This window comes from Homo sapiens, chromosome 7 (genome assembly GCF_000001405.40).
Source record: "Homo sapiens chromosome 7, GRCh38.p14 Primary Assembly".
Lineage (NCBI taxonomy): Eukaryota > Metazoa > Chordata > Mammalia > Primates > Hominidae > Homo > Homo sapiens.
The window spans coordinates 589,530-602,684 of NC_000007.14; the positions used below are offsets into that span (position 1 = coordinate 589,530).

A 13,155-nucleotide genomic window follows, 5' to 3' on the forward strand; every position below is an offset into this window, starting at 1 on the left:
AGCTGAGCCTACTATTATCTCCACTCTATGGAAGAAACAGAGGCTCAGGGTCGGTGTGGCCTGCCTATGCCCACCGAGCTGCTAAGTGCTGAGGCCAAGAACTGAAACGGGACAATCTTGTTCCAGAATGGATGCTCGCACGGCCAGGCCCCACACTGTCCTGGAGACAACAAGGTCATCCCGAACCTCCACTCACACACTCAGCATCTTATCTGCTCTGGAAGAACAGAAGTGGCATCCACAGAGCACCTACCGTGTGCACGGCACCACGTCATCATGCTGCACCCTCACGTGAGACTGGAGAAGGGCAGCTCAGAGCATGCAACGTGCCCAGGCTGCCCGGGACAGAGAGAGGAGCCGGGACGATCCAGCCCCTGGATGTTGCTTTCATGATGCCAACACCAAGCCCACGGCCCTGTGAGGGTCAGGCAGCTGGGGCAGCTCTGGACATGTTCAATGGCACGGGGCCACTTTCAGACGGAATCTGCTGCAGGGAGAGGGGGCTCAACACCACGCAGAGAGAACCGGAAATGTCGGTGGCCTGGCTCCCTGGGCCCTGCCTCCCCCGGTGCCTGGAGACCAGAAGACAGAGGGGGCTCTGGCACTCTGCTGTGCAGCCCCACGCCCTTCAGGACACTCCAAGAGGAGTGTGGCTCCCACAGCCCTGAGCACCACCGGCCCAGCAAAGGGTGTGAAACCATAAGGGGACTCTGCTCCAAAGTATGTGCACATCAGCACAGCACGGCAGGACTCTGTCGCCCAAGGCACGCACCGGTGAGGAGAAGAGCTGCAGCTGAGAGCACAGAGCTGAACATGGCTGCAGGCCTGGTGGGCACAGCTGGGTGCAGCCACTGGAATCCTGGCCTGGCGGCACTGACCTTGCCACTCCAACGTGTGGCCCTCGCGTGCCCAGTCCAGGGGACCAAGAGACCAGCAGGGTGGGGGCGGGGCCCCGAGAGATGGGCACTTGGAGCCCAAGAGGCCAGCATCCGGGGAGAAAACAGCCCCAGGCCTTGCAAGTCACAGCAGACGCAGACGCAGGAGATGCAGGTGGGAACCCAGCCCTCCCCGATACCCAGGTCTCAGTTTCTCCATCAGCTCTGGGTCAGAGCAGCACTAAAATGGCTGTAAGCCCCAATTTTAGAGTCCAGGGGGTGTCCTATCTTCTGCCAAAGCCCTCCCCAAGGTCCCCTCTTTCTGGCAAAAGCCCACAGCCCAGCAGGTCCAGAAAAACCTCAGGAACTTGGCCCAAGACCAAGACGGTGCAGACGGCACTTCTCCACCCGCTGCGGGTGCCTGAACGAACCGGGCTTCCTCAGTGACAACGATCTTTTCAGAAACGCCGAGCCCAGGCCCGTCGGCAGCAGAAAGTGCCGCGTGTCTGCCCCCGAGAGCGGAGAGCGGGCCGGATGCCCGGGGCAGTGGCAGGCGCAATGACCCAGCCCAGGCCATTTTAGATTTCTGCCAGCCATAAAAAAAGCACTTCTTTTGAAAAATAATTTATAATTCACACTGACTGCCCAGCAATTACGCCCAGCCGGAGGAATGCAAGCGTGTTTTGCCCGGGGAACCTCAGACATTAAAGCCTCGTGCACCCGTCCATCTCTCGCGGCGGGGTGACAGCTGAAGGCTGCCAGGGGCCCCCGGGGGAGGGCCCGGCCCCAAAGACTGCCCCTTTTGGGATCATGTTCCTTCTGTGGCTGAGACGGTCGGTGAGGCAGGGCTGGGAGCTGGCCTCCGAGCTGGCCGGTGGGCACTGGGACCCCCACGTGGGGGCTCTGCAGTGTGTCTGCCGGCATCCCCAAGGGGGGCTTTGTGTGGGAAAAGGCAGGTGACCCCCATTTCCAGGTACAGGGCTTCCTCAAGCCCACGGCACGGGGAGGGCGGGGGCGCTAGAAGTGGCTTCTTAACACCGGTCCCACCCACTTCCCATGAGTCGGCTCGGGGGGCACGGGGCCTGGGTCCCGGCCTCAGCTCTGCCCCATCTTGCCAGCACCTACACACAGAAAGCCTGGAAAACTGGAGCGTTGATAACGGCTGCCAGGTGCAGCAGCTCACGCCTATAATTCCAGCACTCTGGGAGGCCAAGGCGGGAGGGTCGCTTGAGCTCATGAGTTTGAGACCAGCTTGGGCAACATATCAAGACTTCACCTCTATTAACAGAAAAAAAAAGGAAAAGAAAAATATATACAGCAGCCACTTCTCCAGCCTGGAGACGCACTGTCAGTGGGGTGAAATGACTGGTGATGCCTGACCCTCCCCACAATGGCCCCAGATGGCTGCAACACGGCCTCATCCCCTCACACTTCAAAGCCAGGAGGAGCAGATTCACACCACAGCCACACACCCCCAAAGTCGTGAGGTGAAGCCCACCAGAAAGCCAGCCCCGGCTCCCACGCACGGCTGTGGGGTTGGCAACTTCAGTCTGAAGGCACCGCTGTGGAACCCAGCGTGACAGACCCCAGGGCCAATGAGAAGAGAAAGAGGCCCAGGCAGGCGGAGCAGGGGTCGCCAGCTGTGAACGGTGCCCACTTTTCCTCCCACCAGGGCCTCCGTGAGGTGGACTTGCCAGGCAGGTCCCGGCTCTGATCCCCCCATGGATCAGGGTCCCCACGTGCACACTGTGTGACCCTCAGCACATCACGGCTGCCTCAGAGCTCCTGAGCCCACCGTCCCGCCCGAGTGAGGGTGCACACGGGCCCTCCCGGCTGCCGTGGCCTCACGTGGACACTGCAGGGCACTAAGCCCCGGTCGAGGCTCGGGGACCCTCCGTGACCTTAGCAGCGTCCTCGAGGCTACAAGTGACAAACTGCTTGTGCTGAGAAATGGAGAAGCCGCGTCCCTTCCCGGCCCCATTGGCTGTGCGGAGTCACTCCGGACACTGGTCCCCTCCTGGCCCCACTGGCTGTGCCGAGTCACTCCGGACATCGGTCCCTTCCCGGCTCCACCGGCTGTGCCGAGTCACTCCGGACACTGGTCCCCTCCTGGCCCCACTGGCTGTGCCGAGTCACTCCGGATACTGGTCAGCGGGGGCTGAGGGGCGGGGAGGGTCCAACCTCCACCAAAGACTCAGGTTCCAAGGGGGTCTTGGGCTCTGGATACCCCAGCACAGCCTCCACCACAGAATTCTACATCCATTGCTTCCAAACGCTGAGGTCCTGGGTAAGGATCAGGGTGAACAGAGGACTCCAAAGCTTACAAGAAAGAAAAATCAGGCCGGATACGGTGGCTCACACCTCACACCTATAGACCCAGCACTGTGGGAGGCTGAGGCGGGAGGATCACTTGAGCCCAGGAGTCCAAGACCAGCCTAGGTGGCATAGTGAGACCAGGTCTCTACAAAAAACAATTTTTTAATTAGTCAGGCGCGGTAGCACACGCCTGTAGTCCCAGCTACTCGGGAGGCTGAGGAGGGAGGATGGCTTGAGCCGGGGAGGCGGAGGCTACAGTGAGCCGAGATTGTGCCACTGCACTCCATCCTGGGTGACAGTGAGACATTGTTTCAAAAAAATTAAAAAAAACAAAAAGGTAAGAAAGAAAAAGCAAGTCTGGGGAGTGCTGGCCCCGGGCTGGGCCCCTGCCTGGGAGCCTAGAGGTGGGGTCACCCCATCCTTCCTCGGATAAAACGTGAAGCGGTGGAGGAAAGAGACGGGCATCAGGGAGTCTCCCAGATCAGACACTCTGGGATCCTAAACTGGAGTCAGCGTTCACATTTTGGGCGGTGGTCTACTTCCTGGAGACACCAGACCGGGTCTCCCGCGTCCCCCAGGTCCCAGCACGTCCCAGCTCGGGACTAAGGCAGAAACAGGAGCTGTGTGAGGAGCTCGGGGCCAATACAGAAACAGACACCATCCTGCAAATGCTCCCGTCCAAACCAGCCCGGCGCGGCCAGCTATTCTTAGCGCACAGGGACCCAAAATTAAAACAGAGGAAGCGCCAGCTCCCTCAGTGGTTTGGGAACTTCCCTGAATATAAGGTTCCAGCCACAAAAATCCCCCAGCCGGGAGCGACAGGGCGTCAAGGATGGTGGGGAAACGGCTTATGCAACGCCGGGCCAGGTGCGCCCAGAGGAGATGGGAACCGCTGTGCCCTCTTCCTGCCCCAAAACCGCTCCAGCCCCTCTCAGGGGGAGGGTGTCTCAGGGGACCCCTCCCACGCGGCGACAGAGGCCTCCCAGTGAAGGCAGGAGTGAGCGGGTTCAGACAGAAGAGAGGGAGCGTGCAACTCCTCCCAGGAGGCTGCACATCATCTGTTCTGTGTACTGGAGTATCCCCAGCAGCACAGGAGCCCCAGACCCAGGGTGGGCACCCCAGCAATGCCCCACAGGTGCATAAATGAGAAGCTCATGGGGTGCAGAATCTGATGAAACAGCCGCCCCAAAGACTGTGCGAACGCGCCATCCACAAAACACAAGAGCCGGCATCGCCGTGGGGCCGGGACAGGCCAGCGCCAGCAGGACACCGTCTCTCAGCTGGCCCATGGCCATCAAATCCTTGTTCCCCAATCAGACGACGCACTTCCAAGAGGGAAACCCAGGGTTGAACTTGCTCTCCCAGCTCACGGGGCTCCATCCTAAACCATCCCCCAGGACTCTCCCCAGTCCTGCCCTTGGGCGTCCTGGAACTGTGGCTCCCTCCTTAGGAATCACACCCACCCAGGCTGGCCTTCCAGGAGTCAGCCAAGCCCCCTAGAAGACACCAGGCCATTCACCTCCTGCCATAGCAACCAGGCTGGCCTCGGGCATGGAGTGGAGGGAACCATCCCAAGCAGGGGATGGAGGAGAGGCCGAGGACCCCGGCAACACCCACCTGGCTCAACCCCTCCTCGGCCGGGCTGGACCCCGGGACCCCAGGCCCCGAAGGAGAGGGCTCGGAGCAGACGCTGTCCGGGGCTGCATTGGCAACAAGCCCACCGCCACCAGGTTCTGCTGTGTCACCCCCAACCAGCTCAGAGGAGCCCCTGGCCCAGCGGTCATGGCTAGGTAAGGACAGAGTGGAGGGGTGCGGCCACCCAAACCACAGGCGCTGGCTCCTGGAGGCCTCTGCCCAGCGATGGGACAGAAGGAGCTGAGGAGGAGACCTGAGGCCATAAGGGGACACCTCCAAACTATGAAGGAACCCCAAGACCATGAGGGGACCCCCTAGACCACAAGGGGACCCCAAGACCATGAGGGGACTCCCCAGACCACAAGGGAAATCCCAAACCATAAGGGGACCCCTAGACCATGAGGGGACTCCCCCAGACCATGAGAGGACCCCAAATTATGAGGGGACCCCAAGACCATGAGGGGATCCCCTAGACCATGAGGAGTCCCCCCCAGATCATGACGAGACCACCCAAACCACAAGGGGACTCCAAACTATGAGGGTCCCCAGACCACCAAGGGACCCCAGACACTGTGGCAGACCCAGAGCTTCCCAGGATGAATGGCCGCACGGGGTGCTGTCTACGCTCACTGGATGGCCCCAAACCGGCCCAGGGAACTGGGTCCACATCTGGTCACAGCTGCCCTCAAGCTCCCACCGTGGCTCCTGAGCACTCTGACAGGGTGCTTCCTGCAGAAGCTGCGGGTCCTCGGCCTGGAGCCCTCCCCGCCCTCTCTGGACAGCGCCTCACTGCCCCACGCGGGAAGGCCTCCTCATCCACACAGGCCCCTCAGCCCTGGCCCAGCCCTGTGCTGCTGTTCCTCGGCCCTCACGCTCCTGGGCTGCTTCCGGCACCCGGGCGTCCTGCCCTGAGGCTCTGCTCAATGCCACCTTATCAGGGGGGTCTCTGAGGCCCCTCCACGGAACAGCAGTCCCCCCCGCCCCACTCCGTCTGCCTCCACCTGCTTCTCGGCTTGGTCCTTCTCCACAGGAATCACCCTCTGGGGCCGGGTGTTCACGGCCGCCTCCACCAGGACAAGACTCCAGCTGCCCTGCCTGTGTTCCCCACAGACCTGCACCCAGAACAGGGCCTGGCAGGTGGGGTGTGTGCGGGGAGGGCGTGGAGGGTCTCCTCTCCCTGGAAAGGGTCCTCCCCGGGCTCCCCACGAGCTCACCTCCAGGAGCCCCTACAAACACCAGCCGTGGCAGCTGAATCGGCCCATAGCACCCCCGCCGCCCACAGCAAGCACAGGCATACACCCACGTGTGCACACAACACACACAGTACAGGGTACGTGGCTCAGAGTAGATCTGGCCACATATAAGAAAAAAAGCTAAAAGCCCAAGAGTCAGTCCCCACACACAGGAAGCCCGTGGGTGAGCAGCCACCGTGTCGGCAGGGAACCACGCTCCTCACACCTCTTTGCTCCATCACCATGGTGAGTGGGTTTCACGCTCATAGTCACCTCCTGGCCCAACATGGCAGCTGGAGCACCAGCCATCACAACCACAGTCCAGACAGTGGGAAGGAGAAAAGGAGGACGGTGAAGGGGCCTCCCCAGCCACCTGTCTTCTAAGAAGCTTCCAGAATCCCTCCACCCCTTTCCACTCCTCTCACAGGCCAGATCTGTCAGGGAGGTTGGAAGTGTCTTTTCTCCAGGTGCATCCCCACCTTGAATAGAGCTAGGGTTCCCAGGGACGCCTGGCCAAGGGTGGGTGTTGGCCTTCTCTGTGCTTGGGCACCAACTCACCATAAGGATGCGCCGGTAGCTGTCCCGGTCGATCCCCCAGAGCTTGAGGTCCGTCTTGGCTTTCACGGTCGCAGCCCTGGGGGTGCCGTAGATGAGCGCCAGCTCCCCGAAGCTGCCTCCCTCGCTGATGTTGGTCACCCACTCTCCGTTCACGTACACCTTTGGGGAGCAAGAGAGAGAAGTGTCACGGGGGCCAGGCAGGGTGACCTCCTCTGCATCCCATACAGAAAGTCCCCCTTAGCTCTCTCCAGAAGAGGGTCCCCGCAGGGCGGGGCACAAGCCCTTTCGCTTGTGGGCAGAGCCCTGCGTTCCCCAGCAATGGGCCTGTGGACCCCAGTGCTCACCCCACCCCCAGCCCTGCTGAGAGCCACGGTGGGACAGCATCAGACCTCCACAGCAGGAGGGCCCAGCCGCCAGTGCCAATGAGACAACCACACCAGAGGCGGACGCACCCGGCCCCCGCTCTGCGGCACAGCGGCCCCAGCCTGACTCCCAGGCAGTGTCTGATTCAATCCGTCAACTTCTCACTCAGCCTCTCTGGGCCTCAGTTTCCCTAGCTGCACCGTGATGAGCTGGAGCCTGTGATCCCCACGGGGCTCTGCTCTGGGGACCTGTGTGCTTCCTCTCCACCCCAGGCCATTCCTCTGTCCCCACCTCCACCAGCACACACCACTGGGCCCCGAAGGAGCCGGGCGGCCTCAAGTGCAGACCTCTCCTGCCAGGGCCTCCCTCCCTACAGGCAGCGCCTGAGCTCCTCGGGCTGGAGTCTGAATGGGCGCCCTATGGCTGGGCGCTGCGGCCGAGCTGCGCCTGGGAAGGAGCCCAGACAAGATTCCCTTTCAGCCCGGGTGGGCCGCCGCCCCCGCACAGGGTGCCTACTATGCATTGAGCATCACAGTTGGGTCCGTGCAAGAATGGTGCAGATTGTTTATTATGCAGTGATTATGCAGATTCCGTTACTATAAATTGACACAATACACGCTTTATCCCCTCTGGGTGTCAATGAGCTTAAAGAATAGTTCCCATTGGCAAAGCAGTTCCCATTGGTTGCATATCGGGAAAGAATGGATTGCAATGAATCATGGAATCAATTCTTACTGAAATCAATGACTCATTATCTGGATAATAACTGAGGCACAGAGTCTTCTATCTGAAAGAAAAGGCCACGCAGGTGTAACTCCACAATTAGGTACAAGTGAGCGCTGGGGAGAACTGGTCGACCACGAACTTTCGGAGGCACAGGGGCGACTGCTGTGCAAAGGCAGACTCTGCCTGGCGGGGATGTGGGGATCATCTCCACCTGGCCCACCAGGCTCCCCAGTTCCTGGAGGGAGGCTGGAGCAGGATTACGGGGCAGAAGAAACACCAGCTTCCCCCCAGTGATCCCCTCCAGGAATCAGAAGACGGCCGTCCTTCCACGGAGCCAGAGAGTACCCACCCGCGCGTGCAGGGATACGTGGAGGAGGCAGCAACTCCAGCGTTTTAGGGGCGAGGGGACCTCAGAGAATGCCCTCCAGAACCTCTGCCTCTTGCTTCTCAAAGGGGACCCAGAGCTAGGGGAGGACTGGCGATGAAGCCGGGGGAAGGGCCTGCGATGGCCGGGGCACAGCCTGGCCTGCGGGCGATGAAGCTGGAGAGGGCCTGCAATGGCCTGGGCACAGCCTGGCCTTCCGCCTCGCAGTGGACACTCCCACTTTGCCTAAGGTTTTGTCAAAACCAGTTTATGGAGGCAGAACTTGCAAATAGGAACGTGCCCAACTCTTGCAGCACAGTGAGTTTCACATCGCTCAGATCGGGGCCTCACAAACTCCCAGGGGACTCTTCCCCAGAGGGATCCGGAGCTCACCCTGTGGGTCTCACCGTGTCTATCCACGCTGCAGGTGACGGACTCCAGGGTCCACAGCACGTCGTGCTGCCAGGAGCATCCCTGTACGTGACATGCACGCCTGGGGTGGCAGTCGCCACTGGCACAGCTTCAGGAGGCATTCTGCACTAAACACCATCACCCTCCAGCACCCTCCAGACTAAACACCATCACCCTCCCTCCAGCACCCTCCGCACTAAACACCATCACCCTCCAGCACCCTCCACACTAAACACCATCACCCTCCCTCCAGCACCCTCCACACTAAACACCATCGCCCTCCCTCCAGCACCCTCCACACTAAACACCATCGCCCTCACTCCAGCACCCTCCGCTCTAAACACCATCGCCCTCCCTCCAGCACCCTCCACACTAAACACCATCACCCTCCCTCCAGCACCCTCCACACTAAACACCATCACCCTCCAGCACCCTCCACACTAAATACCATCACCCTCCCTCCAGCACCCTCCACACTAAACACCATCACCCTCCAGCACCCTCCACACTAAACACCATCACCCTCCAGCACCCTCCACACTAGATACCATCACCCTCCAGCACCCTCCGCACCAAACACCATCACCCTCCACACTAAACATCATCACCCTCCCTCCAGCACCCTCCGCACTAAACACTATCACCCTCCCTCCAGCACCCTCTGCACTTCTGTTCCGATGCAGGGGCCTCTTGCTGAGCCACGAAAGCAGTGTGGACTCAGAAGATGTGAATCTGAGGTCGGGAGGGGTTTGCTTGACATGGGAGAGCCAGGGAGGCGGGTAACATCTTGTGCCCAAGGAGGTGAGTGAGCCTCTTGGCCCCTTCAGGGAATGAGGACACCACCCCCTCGAATGGCTGCCCAGGCAAGTGGCAGGACATCCCCCTGCCTTGGCAAAGAGGATGGGGGCTCTGGGAGCAGAGAAGGGTGAGTCTCCACAGAGCCAGCCCGGGACGGCCGCACCTCCCAGCTTTCTGGGATTCTGTCTCAAAGCGGGGATCCGTGGCTGCTGCCGCTGCAGGCAGGACCCAGGGAAGCTGGACCAGGACGCGCTGCCCATGAGGCCTGGAGAAGCCCAAGGCCTCCGAGAGCTCCCTCCGCAGCCTCAGAGGAAGCCATTGTGCGGGTCCCACAGACGGCCAGGGCCACACTGTGCTCGGCCGCCCGGAGGACAAAGGGGCCATCCTTCTCAGGACACTGGCCACTGTCACCACTCCCGGCGCAGTGCGGGCCCCACCCCAGCTGGTACGCAAAGGGGCTACTTCTTGTTGTGTTTCATTTTTTTGTTTTCTCTCTTTTTTTTTTTTGAGATGGAGTTTCGCTCTTGTTCCTCAGGCTGGAGTGCAATGGTGCGATCTCGGCTCACCGCAACCTCTGCCTCCCAGGTTCAAGCGATTCTCCCGCCTCAGCCTCCCGGATTACAGGCAACTGCCACCACGCCCGGCTAATTTTGTATTTTTAGTAGAGACGGGGTTTCTCCATGTTGGTCAGGCTGGTCTCAAACTCCTGACCTCAGGTGATCCACCCACCTCGGCCTCCCAAAGTGCTGGGATTACAGGCGTGAGCCACCACGCCCAGCTTCTCTTCTTTTAAAAGAAAAAACAATGGGGGTCCCCCGCGGGGCAGCATTTACACCCCACCATCACTGCAGCTTCTCTGGCGCCGAGCTCACACCTGGCTCTGCCCTGCCCCCTGCCCACCTTCACTCGCTCACCCTCTGTGTTTAGAAGTCAATGGTGGGACAGAGGTGCCAGGAGCTGGGGGAGGCACATGGGCAGGCCCCCCATTCACCTTCACTCGCTCACCCTCTGTGTTTAGAAGTCAATGGTGGGACAGGGGTGCCAGGAGCTGGGGGAGGCACACGGGCAGGCCCCCCATTCACCTTCACTCGCTCACCCTCTGTGTTTAGAAGTCAATGGTGGGACAGGGGTGCCAAGAGCTGGGGGAGGCGCACGGGCAGGCCCCCCATTCACCTTCACTCGCTCACCCTCTGTGTTTAGAAGTCAATGGTGGGACAGGGGTGCCAGGAGCTGGGGGAGGCGCATGGGCAGGGAGTGTGTAATGTGGACAGAGCTTCAGTTTAAGAAGACAAGAACATTTGGGAAATGGACAGTGGTGACGGTTGTAAAACAACGTGAATATTCTTAATGCCACCGAACTGCACAAAATGGTTAGAATGGTCAGTGTGGTGTGTCTTTTACTACAATTAAAGTAGGGCCGAGGGCAGTGGCTCATACCTGTCATCACAGCACTTTGGGAAGCCCAGGCGGGAGGATTGCTTGAAGCCAGGAGTCTGAGACCAGCCTGGGCAACACAGCAAGACCCCGTCTCTATGAAAAACTTTAAAATTAGCTGGACGTGGTGGTGCACAGTGGTAGTCCCAGCTTCTCGGGAGGATCGCTTGAGCCCAGGAGTTCAAGGCTGCAATGAGCTATGATCACGCCACCGCACTCCCAGCCTGGGCGACAGAGCGAGACCCCATCTCAAAAAATTAAAAAACGAATTTTAAAAACACACAGAACACAAGACACAACCTGAATAACATCTGATCAGATCACCAAGCTGAGGCGCCCTGCTCCGGGGTACACCCAGCTGCCTGGCGGTGCTCCCCAGCCCCCCAGAAAGAGCTCTTCCCCCAGACGTGTTGTGTGAAACCGAGGGAAGCCCGGAACGGCCAGCGTCAGTGGGGACGTCGTGATGCCTGGGACGGGGAGCAAAAAGAGGGAGTCGGGATAACGGGCCCAAAAACAATCAGGGGAAGAGTCGAGCCCCAAACAGGGCTTGGAAGGGAGCTACGTTCCCAGGCCTGCAAAGTCAGCAGCTGAGTGTCCTTTTAAATAGAAATGCTATGTTCCATGAATAAAATACATTGGAAGATATTTTTATACTTAGAAAAATGGATTATAGCTCTTGGCAACACACGGACGGCAGCAGGCACTTTCGGAGTCTCTGGAAAACCGTAATTCAAACTGAACCTGGTGCTCTTGGCATTTTGTCACCTGGCCGTCCCCCTGGACGCTGCTGGTCAGAGGGCAGCGTCCACCCTGCAGAAGTGGGTGACGTCCACCTCCAAGCTCTGCTGGCTTAAAGGGCCAGGGCCAGGTCCTTGAGGGGACGGCTTCCTGATGGGCCTCCGGCACTTGGCCAGCGCAGTTAAATACCCACGGCAAACGGCCGTCCCTTCCCGCCACGCAGAATAAAACCAGGGAAAACCGCTAGCCTCAGAAACCCACTCGGACCCTGGGTAGCCGTAGTCCTGCAGCCCCGAACCCAGGGTACATCCATCCCATTGCCCCAGGGAGGCGATTTACAGAAACCAGCAAACAACATGCAGCACCCAGGGTTCACACAGCAGCTGGATGGGGCTGCCTGGGGCTGCCATGCGGCCGTTCCCCCGGGTGCTGTAATAACAGTAATTATTATAATACATATGCCCATAACTCACCCGGGCTACCCAACATGCCACTTTTTCATTCCAGATTCCTTACTGAGCATCCTTTGATTCCCTTAAATGTGGCCTTCACCCACACGGGCCCTGCGGATTTACCCTGCATGCGAAGGGCCTCCCACATCACAGGAGGGCCCCTGCAGGCAGCTCCTGCGCCCGGCCCCGCCCGGCCCCGCCGGGCACTCCCTGACGCCCACCCCTGCCCTGGCTGGAAAATCTGAAGTTGATGGAGGTGCTTGGTGTTCGTGCACAGCCGCCTGGGACTCACGGGACAGCCCCATAAGTCACAGCCGGTTCCCGCAGGGGGCCCGGCCATCCCACGTGAGCCTGTAGCCAGGAAGTGGGCATCCACCCACGGGGCTCAGACATCCTGGCTCTGGAGGGCCGGGTCCAGCAGAGGCCTTAAAGCTGCCTTTGTGCCTGACCCGGGGGGGCTGGGGAGGGGTAGGGACGGGCAGGGGGAGGCGCAGGGACGGGCAGGGGGATGGGGAGGGGGAAGGGGAGGGATTTGCCAGGACAATATATTTGGGGAACTCCAGTTACACGAGGGTGACCTCACTCTTTCCTTTCTCAAAATTGCCTCCCAACGTCCCCGGGCCTGGCGAGAAGCCAGGCAGGACGCCACGACGCGTCGTGTCTGAGAGAAAACCGTCTCCCCTCCACTCAGGCTTCAGCCCCGACCCCACGCTAACTGGGCCAGGGCAGGGGCTGGGCTGGGAGGGGACCCAGTGAGCTCAGGGCTGGAGGAAACGGTCCCTGCTTTGAAGTGGCTCCGGCACCGGCCTCTCCCACCACCCTGTCATGTATGAAGGAGTTACAGACGGCGGCGGGGGGAGGGGGGGTCTGTCCTGCTGGAAGGACGGAGGGAAGGGAGATGCCTCACTGAGTCCAGAGGTCGAGGGGTGGGTGGGGATTCTGCGAGGATGAGGAGGAGGAGGAGGAGGTCCCGCCAAGGTCAGCCGGGGCAGCAACACCTCCCGGCCCCTTTGCCGAGGTCCTGGCCCAGGTGGGGCTCCCGGGAGCCTGGAGGCCAACGGCGGAAAGACAGGGACCTGATCCCTCCAGCAGTCCCAGCCGCCGGCCCCTCACACCCTCACCTCTCCCAGGAAGTCCTCAGCATGCTGCCGGCTGGGGCCTGGCGCTGGGGCAGGAGGGTGGCCACCCGCGCTGAAGATGAGGACAAGCCCGGGGCGTGGGTGGTGGGCGTTTCCTCTGTGGGGTGGACGAGG

General features: G+C 60.5%; 1 protein-coding gene across 11 annotated transcripts in view, besides 3 other annotated features; it reads right to left on the minus strand.

The window, feature by feature from the left end:
• PRKAR1B (protein kinase cAMP-dependent type I regulatory subunit beta) overlaps nt 1-13,155 on the minus strand; it is a 179,738-nt gene that overhangs the window by 40,333 nt on the left and 126,250 nt on the right. For all 11 annotated transcript variants that reach the window (XM_047420607.1, NM_001164759.1, XM_047420608.1 and 8 more), the window contains one exon: nt 6,617-6,775. In XM_047420607.1, coding sequence (XP_047276563.1) covers nt 6,617-6,775 — 159 coding nt within the window. The remainder of the gene's footprint in view (nt 1-6,616; nt 6,776-13,155) is intronic.
• Nucleotides 1,480-1,626: a silencer, noted in NCBI's record as "fragment chr7:630646-630792 (GRCh37/hg19 assembly coordinates)". NCBI's record gives its function as "represses an EF-1alpha promoter that drives an FKBP-Casp9 reporter gene in an ReSE screen in HepG2 liver carcinoma cells {active_cell/tissue: HepG2}" and the evidence as "EXISTENCE:reporter gene assay evidence [ECO:0000049][PMID:32094911]".
• Nucleotides 12,004-12,113: a silencer, noted in NCBI's record as "silent region_17813". NCBI's record gives its function as "represses an Ori minimal core promoter by ATAC-STARR-seq in GM12878 lymphoblastoid cells {active_cell/tissue: GM12878}" and the evidence as "EXISTENCE:reporter gene assay evidence [ECO:0000049][PMID:35858748]".
• Nucleotides 12,854-12,913: a silencer, noted in NCBI's record as "silent region_17814". NCBI's record gives its function as "represses an Ori minimal core promoter by ATAC-STARR-seq in GM12878 lymphoblastoid cells {active_cell/tissue: GM12878}" and the evidence as "EXISTENCE:reporter gene assay evidence [ECO:0000049][PMID:35858748]".